Raw genomic sequence first — 17,944 nt, 5'->3', positions numbered from 1 at the left:
GGGGAACCACCCCGGAGAGTAGCAGGGATGCAGGGCGTACCTGAGCACAGGTGAGTGGGGAGCAGTGCTGGGTGCAGACAGGCCTCCCACTGAGGCAGAGGCAGCTCTCACAGGCCTCCTGCCATTCAGATCCAGGCTGGGGAGAGTAGGGGAGAGCCTCCTCTTGGTCTCTCCCAACTTGCAGATTTGTTTTGTTTTGTTTTGTTTTGTTTTGTATTGTTTTGTTTTGTTTTTTGAGACGGAGTCTCACTCTGTCGCCAGGCTGGAGTGCAGTGGCACAATCTCGGCTCACTGCAACCTCCACCTCCCCAGTTCAAGTGATTCTCCCGCCTCAGCCTCCCGAGTAGCTGGGACTACAGGCACGCACCAGCACTCTCAGCTAATGTTTGTATTTTTAGTAGAGATGGGGTTTCACCATGTTGGCCAGGATGGTCTTGATCTCTCGACCTCATGATCCGCCTACCTCAGCCTCCCAAAGTGCTGGGATTACAGGCATGAGCCACCGTGCCCGGCTCCAACTTGCAGACTTTTCTATAATAGTATCCCTGATCCCCAAGCCCAGCCTGTGAGTGCCTAGCCGGGGCAATGGGCTTGGATGGAGTCAGGCAACAAGAGACCCAGGAAGGAGATGAACTGTTGGGGCCAGAGACTGTCCCAGGGGGAGAGCGGAGCCCTGCCGGCTGCTGCAGGGCCTGGAGTAGGGGGAGGAGCCAGTGGAGTTACAGACAGATGGGGAGGCTTGGGGTCAGGAATGGGTGAGTGGTAGCAGAGGGGGTTCGGTGTCTCACCAGGTGGGGACGCCCAAGGTGCCAGCACTCGCAGTGGTCTTCGGGGACGCAGGGGCCTGCCTGGCTGCGGAAGTGCCCGGGCTGGCACACGCAGCCCGAGGCTCGAGCTGAACTGCAGTTACTCTGGGTCTTTGTGGCGTTCATCTCCAGGCACGTCTGCTCGCAGAGCCCCAGCTCCCCCGGGGCCACCTGCTGCCACGTTTCCCCAGGGGGCACTCTGCCAGGGAAGACCATCCAACCCAGCTTTCAGGTCAGCCCTGGATCCAGCCTCGATTCCTCCCCTCCCAAGCTGAGCACCCACACGTCCCCATCTTGCCTTCTCAGCCACAGCAGCCTCCAACCACACCTCCTGATCTTTCTTATCCACCCACCCAAACACTAGCTGGACCCAGGCCAGGTCTCACCTCCTCCAGAAAAGGCTCCCTGACCAATCCTGTCCACTCGGCCTCTATTCTCAGCACTGATGTCTCACCCTCTGGGGTTCTACCTGCCTGTCAGAGACCTAGAGACTGTGCCCTGTCTCTGCCTGTTCTGGGGGTGGGTGGTCTGCCCGGAGGCTGGCCATGCTGCATGTCTGCATTCACAGAGCCCAGCGTGGCAGAGCTGGGAACACGGTGGGTGGGCCCTTGGTCTTGATCAGATGGGGGTAACACTGCACCCCACAGGGCAAATGCTATCAGCCCGGGGGCTGCCAGGCCAGGCCCCTCATTTCCGCTCACCCCTCCAGACCTCAGTTTCCTCACTGGCAGGGAAAGAACCTTCCACTTCCTGGCATCACAGCCCTGGCTCTGTGTATACTGTGTGCTAGGGAATGCCCCCACAAGTGGGGCAGACCACACTGAGTGCCCAGGGAGCCCTCGGCAGGGGGTGCTGGGTCTCCAGTTAGAGAGAGGTCAGTGTGGACAGACAGGGGAGGGCTTTCTGAAGCTCTGTCTAGTCTGTGAGCAGGGCCCGTCTCTCCTCCTCAGTGCCAGTCCCGGGCCTTGACTTTGGAGGTGCAGCAGGGCATGGACAGCCACATCTCACCCTGACAGTCAACGAGGGAGCAGCTGAAGGCTCCACCGTGGCAGACACTGAGAAGACAGAAGCACACTCAGATGCCTCCCATGTCCTCCTCCCTACCCTTCCTCATCCCTGCTCCCCACCCCAGGGCCAGGCCCTCACCAGCGGGTGCAGTTCCGGGTGAGCACAGTCCCTGGGGGCAGCTCCTGGGCCTGCTCTTCCAGGGTCAGGGTGAGGCCCCAGGGCAGAGAATGCTGGGTGCAGGGGCAGGCAGTGGGAGGCACACACGTGCCATTGTGCAGCAGCTGCAGCAGGGCAGGCTCAGTGACACTCAGACCACCGCCTCTTCCCTCCCCACCTGCCGGCTTCCCCCACAGGGAGTCAGGACACAGCACCCCGTACCCACCTGCCCTCCAGGGCAGCCACAGCCAGGCTGGCAGGGCTCCTGCACACAGATGGCACCAGGCTGCAGATGCCAGCAGAGGCACGGGCATGAGGTGGCACAGGCACTAAGCACCTGGCCAGGGGGGCACTCTGTGGGGAGCACACAGGTAGGGAGATGGGAGGGACCCAGCATCTCCAGTCCCAGGGAGGGAGCTGCCCTGGGTCCGACCTCCTCTCCCCACACCTACCCCCCACAGCTGGGGCAGGGCCTGGGCTCAGCAGCAATGGAGGGAGTCAGTCACCTGCCGCCCAGGGCACTTACCAGGGCAGGGCTGCAGGTTACACTCCTGCCGTTGCTCTGTGTCCTGGGCCTGGCATGGTGCCACCCCAGGACCCCCCTCACAAGTCCGATGTCGCTCCATAGTGCCCCCACCACAGGGGGCCGAGCAACTGCTCCAGGCTGACCAAGGCCCAAGGACTGGACACTCCTGGTGTGGGCACACCAGGGACTCGTTGACACAGGTGCTGTGGACAGGGGTAAGCACAAAGGGCTCCAGTCAGGGTGAACAGAACCCTCACTCCCCAACAATGCTGACGAAGGCTGACCTGCCCCATGCCTCCACCCAAAGCTCCCTTAGCCCTGGCGTGGCTGCAGCCATACCAGTTTTGGCAGTCCAGCTGCACCGCCTGGGCCGGGGCCAGCTCCCAAGAGGCATTGGCACTGGGGAGGCCACAGCGGCAAGAGGAGATCGGCACACAGCGCCCATCCTGGACCAGCTGGCCAGGGGGACAGCGGCAGCCTAGGGGTGTGGGTAAAGAGGCGGAACAAGATTGGGTGCTCGGGCAGGGCTCACACAATGGATCCTCCCCCAGCAATCAGATCGAGTCCAAAGCCTAGTTTCCACAGTATCTCCCACTGCCCATGCACAGGAACGGGCTGCTCTAGCCTGTGTGGGCACCACCCGAGTAACCCTGACAGCCACCTGAGCATCCACATGGAACAGTGGCCCTGAGTGACCCTCACTCCTTGCAGGACTCAGAGCTGGCTGCTGAAAGTGACCACTTTCCTGCCCTGTCACTCATGACCCAGCAGTCTGAACCTCCCCCACCCCTGCCCGAGATCACACACTCTCTGGGAGCAGGAGGCAGCTGGGGGAGGCCCAGGCTTTCCTGGAACTCCCAGCTAGGTGGTGGGGCCTGCTGGCTACCTGGGCGGCAGGGTCCCTGCAGACACTGAACGCGGTCCCAGAGGTCGGCACAGCTGTGTGGGCACTGGTTGGCACAGTCCAGGGTGAATACAGTGTCTTGGGCCTCGCAGCTCTAACCTGACGACCAGATGATAGGAGTCTGTGTTGGGGACGCTCTTGGGCCCCCGCTTCCACTGCACGGCTCTGGGGCAGAGCCAACTCTCCCCTCAGGTTTGGTCTCAGATGTTCCTGTCCCAGGCTCTCCTCTGGATCGGGGATGGGAGTTACCTGGGCAGGGCCCTCCGTTGCAGCTTTCTGTCTTGAGCCCATGGCTCCCGGCAGCCTCCTCCACAGAGGGCCTCTGCCTCTCTCCAGCGTAGCCTGAACCCCCCACTGCAGGGCACCTGGCAGGGGCTCCATGGCCCCCACAGACTCCACTGGCATGAGTCTGGGGAAGGTATGATGGAGTCAGTACCCAGGCCCACCTCTTGCCTCCCCCTCAAGCCTTGAGCTCTGTCGTCGCAAACGCTCCGGCAGGCCTTAAAGCCCTCTAGGCTCTCCCGCTTCTCTTTCTAGCTGCTGCCTGGACCCCACCCCCAGCTTCAAATCCTGCAGGCCTTAGAGACAAGCAGGAGGGGTAGCAGGTCAATGTGCTCTATAGCCTAGCCCCTCCCGGCCAGGTCCCCCCAACCTGCACTCCAGGCCCGTCCTGTCCCCTGGCCTCTGCCTCTCCCCATTACCAGGGCAGGCTCCAGGGTCAGGGCAGAGGCGCTGCTGGCTGAGGGGTGCGGTGCAGAGGTGAGGGGCTCCAGTCCAGGGCCTCCCTGTCGCAGGATCCAGACAGAGCCGGTGGCGGTGCTGCTCTGAAGCCAGCAGCGGGGCCAAGGTGGGGGAGAGGCCAGTTGGGTCTCGGAGCCAGTGCTCCTCTAGGGCAGTCCTGGAGGCAGGGGCCAGGGCGCTGGGCGGCAGGCAGGGCCCACAGGGCGACCACTCGGACCACTCACTCAGAGGCAGAAGACCTGGAAGGACAGGGTGTGGGTGCCCTTCCCAGTGACCACCCCTGGGCCCAGAGACCCTGGTGGACAGGCAGGAGGGGCTCAGGGTCATGACCAGGAAGTGCTGGAAACAGAAAGGCTGAGGGTGGTGTGGGGGCAGGGTAAGGTGACCCACCATCCCAGTTTGCCTGGGACTGTCCCCGTCTTAGCACTGAAAGTTCTGCATCCCAGAAACTCCCCCAGTCCCAAGCAATGGGGACTGTTGTCTCCATAGGTCAGGGTTACCTTGACAGCCCTGGCTGGTGCAGTGCAGCTCCCCACGCCGGCATTCACTGTGGGAGGGGGTAGTCAGGGTAGACTAAGGGAGGCAGGACCCAGTCCAGGACCTCCGGGGGGTGGGGGTGGTCATGCAAGGGTAACCTGACCCCTAGGCACATTTGGGGCAAGATGAGGGAGCTGCAAACTCTAGCATCTCAGGGTCCTCTGTCCTGAGGCTGGACTGGGCCCCCCAGGCCTCCCTGCCCTATTCCCTGGCCCCAGCCCTCTGTCTCCCTTCCACCATCACTCACCACTCCTTACAGCCCAGCTGCAGGCGGTCCCCAGGGGCCAGGGTCATCCCGGCTCCTGCTGCTGAGGTATGCCAGCAGTTACACTCCTCTGGGGGAATGCAGCCCCCAGCCTGCTCCAGCAGCCCCTGGGTGGAAGGAGAGATGGGGCAGTGATCATCGTGTCATCCCAGCACCCAGCACTGTGCCCCGCCTGCAGCAGGTGCATATGCATGATGCCGAGTGAATGGCAAGCTGGGAGGAGGCACCGAGTTCCAAGGGGTTTGAAGGAGGTGGGGCCGCCATGGACATCACAGAAAGAAGGAGGAGCAGGAGTGTGGGCAGAAGACCCCCTTCTCCTTGGAAGTTGCTCCAGCTCCCAGCTCTCACCTTGGGGCAGTAGCAGCCCGGCTGGCAGGGTGGCAGGTCCTGGCAGAGCTGATGGCTCAGGTGTGTGGCACAGAGCCCAGCACAGGGGGAGCCGCAGGCATGGAACTCAAAGGGAGGCGTGCAGCTGTCCTCTGGGGGAGATGGGGGAGAGGCAGGCTTGTGGGGGAACAGCCCAGAGACATCACTCCCAAAGCCCAGAGCACATGCCGCGTGGCTCTACTGAGGCCCTTGGGGTCACCTGGTGAGAGTACAAGATGCCCACCCTCCGCAAGTTGGAACAGACCAGTATCCCCCATCTGGCATCCACTCAGCACCTGTGGGCACCTCCAGGGAAGGATCAGGATGGGTTGGGCCTTGGAGAGCCAGGAAGATGCCTGGAGGAGGCAGCTGAGGAGGGGGCTGCAGGAGTGAGGGGCCTTGGCAGGTGCTCCAGAAATTGGCAGATGGGAGACAGAGGGGCAGAGATGGGAGACAGAGGGGCAGAGATGGAGGGCAGCCGCAGCAGGAGCTGGGTAAGACACCCTCCTAGAGGGCAGCTACATGGGCCAAAGCCACAGGCGGGCCGGCAGCTGCAGGGTGGACAAATTGTGGTGAGGGATTGGGGTCGCAGCTGTGATGAGGGAGTATCTGGGGGGAGCAGGGGAGCAGCTGGGTTTGAGGGCAGGCACGGGCGCAGGCAGCTGCTCTGAGGTCTTGGGGCACTACATTGGCTGTGAGGGGAGGGGAGCAGGGAGTTCCAGCAGGGACCCTTGGTGGCTGCTGCCCTGCGCAGCTCCCTGGTTAACTTGCTGCTGGAGCCTCACCAGAGCAGTTGCTGATAAGGCAAGGCCGGAAGTGGCCATCCAGCCGCGTGCAGGGGGCGCCTGCCCTGGCCCCTCGGGACGCCGGGCCCTGGTGTCGGTAGCGCTGCTGCACCAGCACCCGGCAAGAGCAGCGCGTCCAGCTGCTCCAGCTGCTCCACACACACTCCTCTAGGGACCGGAGGGGTGTGTCAGCCCACCTCTCCCCTGCCTGCCCTCCCTCTCACCCCAGCCCTGCCGAGACCCTGCACAGGAAACAGGCAAGAGGGGCCTGAAAGGCCCAGCTGGCTGGACGCCCTCTCACCCTACAAGGAGGGCCCCGAGGGAAGAGATGGTGGGAAGAGGAAAGGAACTGAGCAAAACATGGGGGCACAGACAGGGCAGGCTTATTTTAAGGGATGATCCGGGAACTAGGAACATTTATTTTCTGAATCTCCCAAGGTAGGAAAAGTAGAGAGGTGATTTCACTTCCCCTGAACACTCACCTGGGCAGGGCCCTGAGTAGCAGCCCTGGGTGTCCAGGTGGAGGAAGGTGCTGTTGCAGGTGGGGTCGGCCTTGGCCATCAGGCAGGGGCAGGACCCAGAGCGAGAGGCCAGGCCCGGGCCGCAGCTGCGGGAACAGGGCCCCCACGGGCCCCAGGAGCAGGCCTCCAGCAGCCCTGGGCAAGGCTGCTGCCTGGTCTGGGTGTCAGGGCCCAGGCAGGGTGGGCTCCTGTGGTGAGGGGCTGCGGCCCTGCAGGCCCGGGTTCGGACCTGGTTTCCACCTCCACAGGAGACAGGGCAGTCGGACCAGGAGGACCACAGCGTCCAAGCCTCAGGCACTGTGGGAGGGCACAGGTGAGGTCAGAGGAGGCGGAGGGAGCAAAGGCCAAAGGACTGGGTGGGGACCTGCATGGTGGCCAAGGGAGTGGCAGTTAAGTAAGGTGGGAGAAAATGAGACACAGAGCACATGGCAGGCAAGGCATGAGGCTAGAAGGGTGGCTGAGGCGGGGATCCGGAGGCAGCCCAGACCTGCACACTCCGTATCTTCGCAGATCACACCCTCCGGGGTGCAGGAGCTGGGAAAGAGCCGGGACTCAGGACTCTGCTCTCCAGCAGGGCGGTTCCAGCCCCCCTCCCTGCCCTGCACTCACCACCGCTGGCACTCCCCCTGCAGCCAGCTGTCCCCCAGGGTGCGGGAGCGAGTGCCCTGCAGGCACAGGGGTGGGCACGAGGGCTGAGGGCAGGGCTGGCTCTGGGACTGCTCCTCCCGACACTCTGGGGCCCACGAGCCCGACGTGGAGGACCTGGGTGGGGCCAGGGCAGAGGAGGTGAGAGATAGCTCAGGCCCGTCATCCCTTCTCTGTCTCCTGATGAGACACCCTGACGGGACACCTCAGGGTGGGCATGGGGGTAGCTGAGGAAAAGCCAGGGTAACCAGGGACAGAGCTGGCCCAGGGCCTGGGGTGGTGCTGTCGCTGGTGAGAGCAGGACCCAGGAACTCTGTCAGAAGGGAGACTGCGCCTTGCAGAGTGAGGCCCTGGGTGGCAGAAGGGACATCTAGCCCTGCCAGCCCCGTACCGGAAGCGGCTCTGCTGCCCTCTGGGCCCGCATGAGTGGCTGCAGGGACTCCAGGCCGACCAGTGGCTCCAGGCACAGTGGGTGGGAGGCGGGCAGGGCTGAGCCGTGCAGGAGAGCTGCCCAGCTTGGCATGAGCAGTTGTTGCAGGCATCCTGGTGCTGGCTCCCCGGGGCCCAGCTGTGGCCCTGGGCATCGGTGCAGTCACAGTGCCCAATTGGCACGCAGCCACCATCCTGCTCCAGGGACCCTGTGGGGCAAGGGCTGGAGCTTGCACCCCTGGCCCCACCCACACCTTCCCACTCAGCCACCCTGACACTCCTGAAGGATAGGGCAGCACCTACCCTTTGGGCAGCGGCAGCCCTTCTGGCAGACCTGGTCGTCCTGACACACAATTCCCTCCTGGAGGTCTGAGCAGCGGCGGGGGCAGCGGTTGGCACAGGTGACCACCTCCATGCCTGCTGGGCAGCCGGCCTCTGAGCAGATGGAGGGCCCAGAGTCAGGAGGGCCCAGGGCTCAGAAACCCTCCCTCTGCCCTACTGGGGACTCCCTACCTCCATAAAGCTACAGGACCCATCCCATCCCCCACACTGGTGCTCACTGAAACACGGGAGACTCGGGAAGACTCTGGAATTGGGACATTCTAGGTAGACAGTGAGTTCCTCTCACCTCCTGTGAGTTCTCAGCACCTACCCGGTACCCAGTAAATGTTTGTGGAGCTGGACTAAATTTGTGGGTCTCAAAAGCCAATAATGTCACCTGGAGCCTCTTTTGTGTCCACCCAGAGGATGGGTGGGGATAGAGGAGGGGAGCCCCGGGGGAACCCATGCCATGGGGCTGTTGAGGGCCAATTAAAGAAGGAGCTGAAGCTTGGGGGTGACGGGAGGAGGCACAGGCTCAGCTACAGCCGCTGGCTCCATCCACCACCCACGAGTGCCACAGCCGCTCCTAAAAGTGCCACTGTCAAAGCCTCCAAAAATTGTGACAGGGCTGGTGGCTCTTTCCCACCTCGGGGGTGGGAAAGCTGAAAGGAGGAGCTCTCCTGTGGGTTGGGGTGGCCAGGGTGGATCCTTGGGCCTTGGCACAGACAACAGACATGCTCAGGGTATCCTTGCCCAACGCCAGGCCCAGCCCTCCACCCCAGAGGGCTCAGTTTCCAAACTGGCCCATGAGGTAGCAGCCAGGCCCCATGCAGAGTGGAGCCCAATAAGGGTAGGACAGGACTGTCACCATTGCCATACCACAAGGCATGGGATTGCAGAGGCGGGCCTGGTGCCGCTCCCCAGCACAGGGGGCTCCCCCGTTCTTGGATGGGGGGCTTGAGCAGCTGCGGCTTCTCAGGGATTGGCCTCCCCCACAGCTGCGGTCACACCAGGACCAGGGACTCCAGCGTGACCAGCCCCCGGGCACTGTGGGAAAGAGAACGGCCACCTGAGGGGTCGGCTCAGGCAGGGGGCCCCCACCTATCCCACGAGCCCAGGTCAGGGTCTGGTGTGAGAGATGAAAGTGCCACACTCAGGTAGGCTGGGTGCCTGGGAGGGGGCACTGATGCCAGGGGCCTTCCAGGGGCAGAGCCTGGGGCATGCCCTGGTCTCCCCCAGCCGCCTCACCTGGGCAGGCTCGCAGGTTGCAGAAGCGGCGCTCTTGGTAGGCAGTAAGGATGTTGGGGCACCAGTGCCCGCCGGGCCCAGGGGGACGGTATGCCCGCAGGCGGCGCTGCTGGCCCACTCCGCAGCTGCGGGAGCAAGGTTCCCACGGGGCCCAGGAGGTCCAGGAACAGTTCCCAGCCCCACAGCCAGGGCCAGGGCACACGGGCAGCTCTGTGACACAAAGCGGAGCTGGAGCCAGTCCCGGCTGCATGACACCTGCCCAGCCTTTCCTCTCTGCTCCCAGCTCAACGGTGGACCTCCACCACCCAGGCCAGCAGTGGCCTCGTCCAGAGCTCTGGGCTCTCATTCTGGATCTGACACTGACTGCTGTGTGGCTTTGACAACTGGGCCTCACTATCCCCTTTTCTCATCAGGGACAGTAATCCCAGACTACAGGGCTATGGAGGGATTTGGGCGGGACCTTGGGGCGGGTGGAGAGTTCAGCACACACACCAGAGAACAAGGAATGTGCTGGAAGTTGGGCTCCCCAGCATCTGCTGGGGTTGGCAAAGAGGATCCAGAGCCCGGAGTCAGACACTGATTTGAAATGAGATGTCAACACTAGAAACCAATGATTACCTGAGGGGTATTAGATATTGGGAATTGGGGGTTACAATGAGTTGTCTGAGGGTGGTGGCTGGGATCAGAAGTTGAGGCTGGAAGGCACACCTGTGCATGAGGGCAGGTTGCAGGGGCGCTCCTGTAATGGGTCCCCCATGGTGCAGTTAGCCAGGCAGAGGCGGGTGCGGCTGCGCCATGCAGGGCGAGCGGGGTCCGTGCAGCTTCTGGAGCAGGGGGACCAGGAGGACCATGGGCCCCAGCCACCTGGGGGAGGGATTGGGGAGGGTGCCTTGTGCTGAGTCGGCCCTGAGTTTCAGCCTCTCCAGGAAGCAGGGGAGGGGGAAGCGGGGAGGGGTCCCTGGGCTTGCTCTTCCCACAGGGAGGCCATGAGGCAGAGGTACAGGGAGTCTGGAGCTACCTGGAAGGCCTGTTACTGGCTCCACCGTGGACCCTTCAGCCCCTGTGCCAAAGGAAACCCCACTCAGAAATGTTTTGGTACCCACAGCGCACCGGGACCACGCCTAAGGCTGGCAGCTGGCACTGCGGGCTCATGGCTATCTAGTCCAGCCTTCCTCAGCTTGAGCTCCTGCGGACACCCAGGCCCCAAGCACAGCACTTCCTTGCAGGCTCAAGGCCTTTGCTCAAGCTGTTCCTTTCCTTCCAATGCTGGTCAAAGTTCCCTCCCTCCCTCAAAACCCCTCAGATACTGCCTCCTCCAATAAGGCCTCCTAGACGTCTGTCCAGTGCCATCCTGACCCCAGCCCTGCCCACCACCTTCTGCCTGTCCTTACCAGGGCAGTCTGGGCTGGGGCAGTACTCGAGGTCCTGGCGGGGCCCACGGCAGCCCTGACCACTGAGGGTGGGCATGGTGAGCACACACTGGCGGCTGCGGGTACGGGTGCCCAGCCCTCCACAGGAGCGGGAGCACGGGCCCCACGGGCTCCAGGGACCGAAACCACCATCGGCCTCGAAGCAGTCGTCCAGGGAGCAAGACAGCTTCCCGTGTGCACACGAGCTGGGGGAAGAGCCAGGTTAGCCCAGCCCAGGTGGGGCCAGAGGGTAGACTGGGGTTCCCGGTCCCTGTCCTCTTACCCTCTAACCCCTCCCTCCACTGAAAATCTCCCTGACCCTCCCCAGCCCAGTCCCCACCCTCACCATCCCCCTCACCAGTTGCCACAGCTTGTACGAAGTGTCTGGCCTGAGTCCAGCTCATCTCCAGGCCCGAGGGGCTGACCAGGGTCACCTATGGTGGCTCCCAGCTCCTGCAGCAGCCAGGCTGTCAGCACACAAGGGCACTCCTGGGAGAGTGGGGCAGAGGAGGCAGCATCACAGCACAGGCCAGCCACCCACCCGGGGCTGTGCGCATCCCCTGGAGAGACTTGGGGAGGGACAGTGTGAGGACCCGGAAAAGGGCTCCAGGCTCCAGGAAAGCATTTCCAGGAGCAGGGGGCTGTTCACCCCCATCAGGGGCATGAGCACACCATGAGAGGGGCATGGCCGGGGCTTGGCCTGAGCTGGCTTCCCCACACAGAGCGCCCAGCAGGACACAAGGAGGCACCAACACAGACCCTCACAGGCTCACACATGATGCGGGGGGCAGAAAGAGCTTCAGCCAGGAATCGGGACGTTAGGTTTGGGTCTGGCTCTGCTGCTGTGTGTGACCTCGGTGTGTCCCCTCCCCTCTCTGGGGCTCACTGTCACCATCTCTAGGTCTAGGAGGTGAGACCAGGTGGCTGCTCTGGTCCCTCCTGAACATGGCATCCTGGAACTCTGGCTCAGGAGTGGCCACTGGGCAGCCGGCTTTAGGATTAGGAAAGGGATCCCTGTGTGCCTGTCAGGCTCCCCAGAGCAGAGCTGGGCCCCGGCTGCCGCTGGGATGCCCAGCAGGGACCAGGTGGGGCCAAGGGGAGTGAAGGTGAGGGGCACTGTCCCCACAAGCATGTGACAGGCAAGAGAGGGGCAGTGAAGACCCATGACCCACAGTGGAGGACAGGGAGGTGAGGCTGGGCCAGTGAGGTTGGGGAACATGGGAACCTGGCAGGAAACTGCCCCTCCCTGCCAGGGTGAGGGGTGGGCGGGGAATACAGGGGTGGGTGTGAGCTCCAGCAGGGCTGGGACATGTACCAGTCAGGAACAGAGGACAGGCAAGTCCAGAGGTGGCAGGTGTTCCCCATCCCGGGGAACCAGGGACCCCGGGAGGCTGCGTCTAACTCTGCCTGCCCCTGACGCTGTCAGCAGAGGCCTCGGCTGGCCTCACCAGCCTGTGTGCTGCTTAGGGGCCTGCCCAGGGATGACAGGGTCTGCAAAAGTGACAGACATGACAGAGGGGACAGGCGAAGGGAGGGCAGGGAGGGCTGTGGGGTGGACAGGTTCTGACCTGCACACAGGCCAGGCGGTGCTGGAAGGTGCCCTCGGGGCAGTGGCAGCCCTCCTCGCAGCCCTCAGAGAAGCAGCCCACCTGCTGCGTGACGTGGGCGCAGGAGAAGGGGCATCCCTCGCCGGGCTGGCATTCACGGTACAGGCGGCCAGCCGGGCAGCCTGCCTCTGAGGCAGCAGCCACATCAGCACCTGCTCCGGCCCCGGCCCTCACTGACCACCTCAGGGAGTGCCTTTCACCTGCCCATCCCCCCGCCCTGGGCAGCGCCCCCTCCCACAGGCTCCCACAGCCTGGCTGAGTCCTCCTTCACTTGTCCATCGCTGGTGGGAGGGCACTGGAGGACAGGTGGGGGTGGGGAGGGAGAGGCCAAAAGGCACCCATGAGTCAGGGTCAAAGGCCAGGATGGGACTCAAAGGTCAGAGTGGGGTTAGCCCCGGGCTGGCGCTCACCTCTGCAGACCTGTGTGCTGCATGTGCGGCTCTGGCGGGCAGGCCCTGGGCAGGGAGGACGAGCACAGCGCCGGGAGCGCAGCTGCTCCCCGCCCCCACACGAAACACTGCAGTCTTCCCAAGGGCCCCAAGAGCTCCACACCCCAGGGTCCGGGCAGTCAGGCACCTCCTGGCATTGCAGAATGCCTGCCACACAGGTGCTGGGGACAAAGGAGGGGGCTTCAGAGACAGGACCAGCCCCATCCCCTGAGGGCTCCCCTCCTGGGTTCTATGCGCCTCCCCGCCCCCACTTCTCTTGGCTTACCAGTTGTCACATGGCCCAGTGACCACCTCTCCGGGTTCCAGGCTCTCCCAGGAGCTAAACCTAGACCCTGCTGAGCGGCTCTGGTTCTCAGGGATCCCTGAGGGGCACAGGAGGGAGGGTGGGGGCTCCAGACAGCTCAGCTCCCCCCATCCATCCCTCCTCCCACCCCATGGCCTTCTACTCCCCACCCTCTTGCCTCCACCGCATGGCACCCTGTGTCCTGAACAAGGGAGGTGGACACTCCAACCAGACCAGCCCTGGGAGGGGAGTCGAGGGACACGAAGGCCTGGAGAGCTGGTAATCGCTCATTTTTGTTCTGCAGCCCCAGGCTGGGTCCCCGGGGCAGCGGCACAGGGGCCAGACAGGTGGCACTGCAGTGCTGGGGGCTGGGGGAGAGGGGAGGCACTCACCCATGGCTCCAGGCTGGTACTGGCAGCGGCAGTGGGCTGGGGGCACGCACAGCCCGTCCTGGGAGAGCTGGCCCAGGGGGCACCCACAAGTGGGCTGGCAGCCCACAGAGCCTGGCTGGCACACACTCCCAGGGGACAGGTCCTGGCAGGAGCGGGGGCAGGGCTGCCCACAGGGATGCAGACTCTGGCCACCCCCGCAGTCTACGCAGGAAGAAAGCAGAGAGGGTGGTCACCGAAGGGCATCCTGAGGCATTTTCAACCCTCCTGCCATGCCTGGCGCCCATTCGGACCCGCCACCTTGACCAGGTCCATGACTGATGGCCTGGGAACTGTCCCTTGAGATAGTGACATGATGTGTGTGGAGGTCAGAGGCCAGAGTCGGCATCTCCCTGGACTTAGAGGGGCCCTCTCAGACCTCACTGAAGCCTGACCTGTGCACTGGGTGGAATTTTCCTGGCAAGGGCGACTCTGCGTGTGGTTCCCAGGGCAGGGCCTCCCTCCCTCAGGGGTGGGGGGCCGGCTGCACGCCCGGCTCCGGTGGGACTGCCCCAAGCACATGTCGCAGGGAGACCATGGCCCCCATGGGCCCCAGGCTCCGTCCACTGTGGCAGGAAGACAGATCATCCGCATTAGGAGGCCCCAGGTTAGCGGGGCTGGAGCAGGGCTTTAGGGCCTTTTGGGGGAGGGGCATGGGCCTCGTGGGGCATTACACCTGGGCACGTGGCGTAGCTGGGGCAGGCCTCCCTCTGATGCTGGGCCCCTGCCTCCCCAGCCTCTCCAGTGCACGGGGCACCACCGTGCTGAGGAGTGGGGCAGGCACAGGCCCTGGAGCGGCTCCTGGTCTGGCCCCTGCAGGGCTGGGAGCACATTGTCCACTCCGACCACGGGCACCAGCCTCCGGGCACTACAAGGAGAATGGTGGGCACTGGGGTGCAGCCCGTCCCTTGCCCGGTCCCAGGCCCCCCTCCTCACCTCCCTCCAAGCTAGGCACATACCTGGGCAGGGCAGGTCTGTGCAGTTCAGCCTCCCCTCCAGGCAGGTGCTGGGCAGGGGGTGCAGACACAGAAGGAAGAGGCAGCAGCTTAGTCCTACCCCAAACCCTAACTCTGCACCCCCCCAGCTGCCTCTCCCCTCCCCTCATCCTTATGATTGATCCTCAGTTTTCTGCCAGATAGTGCCCCATCTCCCAGCTCTCCAGTGCCTCCCTATCCTGTTTCCTGTCCCACTTAGCTGGCCCTCTCGGGGTCACCAGATGATGCCTACTCTTGGGGAAGGACTGCAGGTACCCTGGAGCCAACTCTGTGGTCAGATGGGTTGTGAATGCCATATCTGTCACTCCTCCTGCCCAGACCCCTCCTGCCGCTGAGCACGTGCCCAGCCCCCGCAGACACACAGGGTCAGCTTCAGCGTCCTCGCCTATCAGACGCGGGTCTTGGTGCCTGCCCCACATCTGCTCAGGGATTGTGGGGGGCAAATGTGACCATCCGCGGAGACTCCAGAGAGCTCGAGAGAATGGGATGAAGTGGGGCAACTCCTGCTGGCATCCCTGCCTCCCACCACGGCGAGGGCCCCTTACCAGTGGTTGCAGCCGTCAGGCCTTGCCAGCCGAGCACCCGGATGGTGCCGCTGCCCGGTCAGCAGGTCCAGGCAGCTGCAGTGACCCGGCTGCACGCAGATGGCCCCGTTGGAACTCAGTACCTGGCCTGGTGGGCAGTAGCAGCCAGGCTGGCAGCGCCACACGCAGTGCTGGGGGACAGTAAGTGGGGGCCATCAGCAGAAAAAGGAAAGCTGTGCAGGGAAGACGACGGAACAAGGGGCTGGGGAGGAAGGTGTGACAGAGGCCTCACGTTTTCAACAGAGTACGCCTGGTAGTGCAGATGAGAAAGGCAGGAAGGGGACCCAGCTAGCCCTGCAGTTTGCACTGAGGTTGGCCCCTCCCTGAGGGTGGAGGGGAGGGAGGAGCAGCTGAGGAGGTTCCCTTTGGCCCCCTGGGGCAGGGATTTGGAGCTAGGTGTTCCCAGATGTAAAACCCCAATTCCAGCGGGTGACCTGGACTCATGGCCTGGAAGCTGGGGCATGCCCCAGACCTCTAGAACGTGGGGAGCTGGCTGGGCAAGGGGGCAGTTTGGGAAGGAGCTGGGAGGTCCTGGGGCGGCTGGGAGCAGGCACTGCCCGCAACGACCTTCTCTTCTCTTCGAGATCCTCCTCTTTCTCCTCCCTCTCCCCACCTCCCTCAGCACCTCCACACCCAAGGCCTCGAAGCCCCACCTCATTCTTCATGGCCCCTACTGTGACCACTCTTTCACGTGTGTCTGTCTTGCTCAGCCCAGAATGTGGGCTCCGTGGTGACCCTGTGTTTGCTTCTCCCACCCCCCGCCACTCCCCCACCCACACACAGATGCAGGTCTAGACACCAACGTGCTCATGGGGTTCAGGAGATGATTTCCCCCTTCCTTTGTGTTTATGCCATTTTTGTCATAACACTTTAATGTGAGAAATGTCTGATCTACAGACAAAGGCTGTCAGGTGAGGCTGGCTCTGTGCGGAGAGAGGCTGGTGTCTCTCTGGGGTGGCCTGGCATGCTCTGTGAACTGAAACCAGGGCCCCCACCCGTGCCTTCCTGTGCTGGGCTGTCCAGGCCCCAGCCAAAGAGGCCGTGAGCCCAAATCCACACCCTGCCCTCCCGCAAAGTGGGCCTTGGGTCAGGTGGCAGTGCCAAGGGAGCTGGGACTCACCACTAGGTCATCACAGGAGCGAGGGCACGGAGGGCCACAGGGGCTATACTCGGCCCCTTCAATGGCAGTGCAGTTGGTCACTGAGGGCAAACAGGATGGGCTGAGAACTGTGTGGGGCCATCCACCCTGGCCTCTCTCCCTGGAATGCTTCCTCTAACTCCCCTTCCTCTGTCCCTGACCCCCACCCCCATCCCTGGCAGGTACCTGGGCAGGGCAGAGCCTGGCAGACCTCCCCCTGTGCCCGTGGCCCCTCGCAGTAATCCCCCAGGCCCTGGGGTGGGGGCTGGTCACAGGCCCGGGTCCGGCTCCGCAGGCCTCCCCCACAGCTCCGGCTACAGTGGGACCAGGGCCCCCATGGACCCCATCCCCCAGCTCCTGGGGACACAGCAGAGGAAGGAGTGAGGAGGGGCTTGGCTGGGGCCAGGGCACAGCTGGTACAAGGCAGCAGCATCCACAGCGTACAGTGGGCACCACCCTGGGCTCCCCAGGAGGGTCCAGGCGGGCAGGGCAGGCAGGCACTCAAGATCACACCCCTGCAGGAGACATGGCTCCTCTTCAGCCTCGGGGCCTGAGCAGAGAGGTGTGGGGGTGGCTGGCAGGGGCAGCGGAGCCACGGTGGATGGCACTGCACTGGGGGACCTGGCACAGAACCGGTGCCGATGGCACCGGGCAGGGCCACAGGAGGCTGAACACTGGCTCCAAGGGGTCCAGGGTGACCACGTGGGCTCACCTAGGGGATATCCAGGAGGCGGGCAGGCAGGAGGGGGACAGGCACAGGCTGGACAGGCTGAAGATGGAGCATGGTGCCTCTGCCCCCCATCTCTCCTGATGGCTTTCCTCCCCCAGTCTCAGCCCTGGCCCACTCCTGCAGCTGAGGGATGGGGGAGCCGAGGTGCAAGTCAGAAGTGGGGACGCTTCCTTACCCTCCGCACAAGGCCAGGAGCTGCAGTTGGCGATGAGCCCGGAGACACAGGAGCTGTGGGGAGCAGCAGAGGGTTGGTTGGTCTATGGGCTGCATTGTGGCCCCCCAAACCCTCAAGTTCAAGTCCTGGCCCCCAGTCCCTGGGAATGGGAGCTTATTTGGAGATGAGGTCTGTACAGAGGTGATCAGGTTAAAAGGAGGTCACTGAGGTGGCCCTAGTTTTAATGCATCTTATGTCCTTTATAAAAGAGAAAATGAGGGAAGATGACATGAAGAGATAGGGAGAAGGCCACCTACAGGCCAAGGAGTGCCAACGATTTCCAGCAAACTCCCAGAAGAGGAGTAAGGCCTTGAACAGTCTCCCTTGCAGCCCTCAGAAGGAGCCCACCCACCAACACCTTGATCCTGGGCTTCCAGGATCTGTGAGACCATCAGGGGCCGCTGCTCTAGCTCCCCAGTGCATGGCACTCGGTGGCAGCAGCCCCAGGAGGCTAACACAGGTGGGGAGAGGGAAAACAGGTGGGGGACAGGGGGAGGGAGGGGCGCAGGAGGGTGCAGCCTCAGAGGGCTGGACGGCTGTGCCGAGGGGCTGGGGGTGGGGGGCACATGTGTCTCTGTCCCCGACTGGAGCCAAAATCCCTGCCTCTGAGGAGGGACAGCAGGTCGTCAGAGGTCACAGGGCCATAATGGGATGGGGGCGGTGTCTCACCAGTTTTCACATGGACGAACCACAGTGCTGCCCGGGGGGTAGAGGTGCCCCTCGTGGGCACAGGGGCAGTCCTGGGTGGGCACACACACGTTGTTCTGGAATCGAAACCCTCTATCATCTTCTGGCTCCAGATGGGCTGGGCCTGGGCTCCCCACCCTGGTCAGAGCCAGCATGCAATCC

General features: G+C 63.5%; 1 pseudogene across 1 annotated transcript in view; it reads right to left on the bottom strand.

Moving 5' to 3' along the window:
• Positions 1-17,944, bottom strand: part of SSPOP (SCO-spondin, pseudogene) — a 57,924-nt pseudogene that overhangs the window by 5,192 nt on the left and 34,788 nt on the right. The window contains exons 63-99 of the transcript NR_163594.1: positions 17,765-17,859; positions 17,057-17,109; positions 16,338-16,508; positions 16,134-16,213; positions 14,975-15,144; positions 14,394-14,440; positions 14,111-14,302; positions 13,830-14,000; positions 13,399-13,599; positions 12,989-13,085; positions 12,685-12,884; positions 12,236-12,402; positions 11,026-11,156; positions 10,650-10,873; positions 10,277-10,318; positions 9,967-10,122; positions 9,259-9,468; positions 8,890-9,057; positions 7,993-8,124; positions 7,652-7,898; positions 7,225-7,377; positions 7,103-7,149; positions 6,577-6,912; positions 6,095-6,262; positions 5,292-5,422; positions 4,926-5,050; positions 4,642-4,688; positions 4,102-4,380; positions 3,650-3,809; positions 3,383-3,499; positions 2,836-2,974; positions 2,497-2,699; positions 2,197-2,324; positions 1,953-2,095; positions 1,815-1,861; positions 789-1,005; positions 41-136 (exon numbers count right to left, since the gene is read on the bottom strand). The product of NR_163594.1 is annotated as an SCO-spondin, pseudogene (transcript). The remainder of the gene's footprint in view (positions 1-40; positions 137-788; positions 1,006-1,814; positions 1,862-1,952; positions 2,096-2,196; positions 2,325-2,496; positions 2,700-2,835; positions 2,975-3,382; positions 3,500-3,649; positions 3,810-4,101; positions 4,381-4,641; positions 4,689-4,925; positions 5,051-5,291; positions 5,423-6,094; positions 6,263-6,576; positions 6,913-7,102; positions 7,150-7,224; positions 7,378-7,651; positions 7,899-7,992; positions 8,125-8,889; positions 9,058-9,258; positions 9,469-9,966; positions 10,123-10,276; positions 10,319-10,649; positions 10,874-11,025; positions 11,157-12,235; positions 12,403-12,684; positions 12,885-12,988; positions 13,086-13,398; positions 13,600-13,829; positions 14,001-14,110; positions 14,303-14,393; positions 14,441-14,974; positions 15,145-16,133; positions 16,214-16,337; positions 16,509-17,056; positions 17,110-17,764; positions 17,860-17,944) is intronic.

This window comes from Homo sapiens, chromosome 7, assembly GCF_000001405.40.
Source record: "Homo sapiens chromosome 7, GRCh38.p14 Primary Assembly".
Lineage (NCBI taxonomy): Eukaryota > Metazoa > Chordata > Mammalia > Primates > Hominidae > Homo > Homo sapiens.
This window is presented reverse-complemented; position numbering and strand designations above follow the sequence as displayed.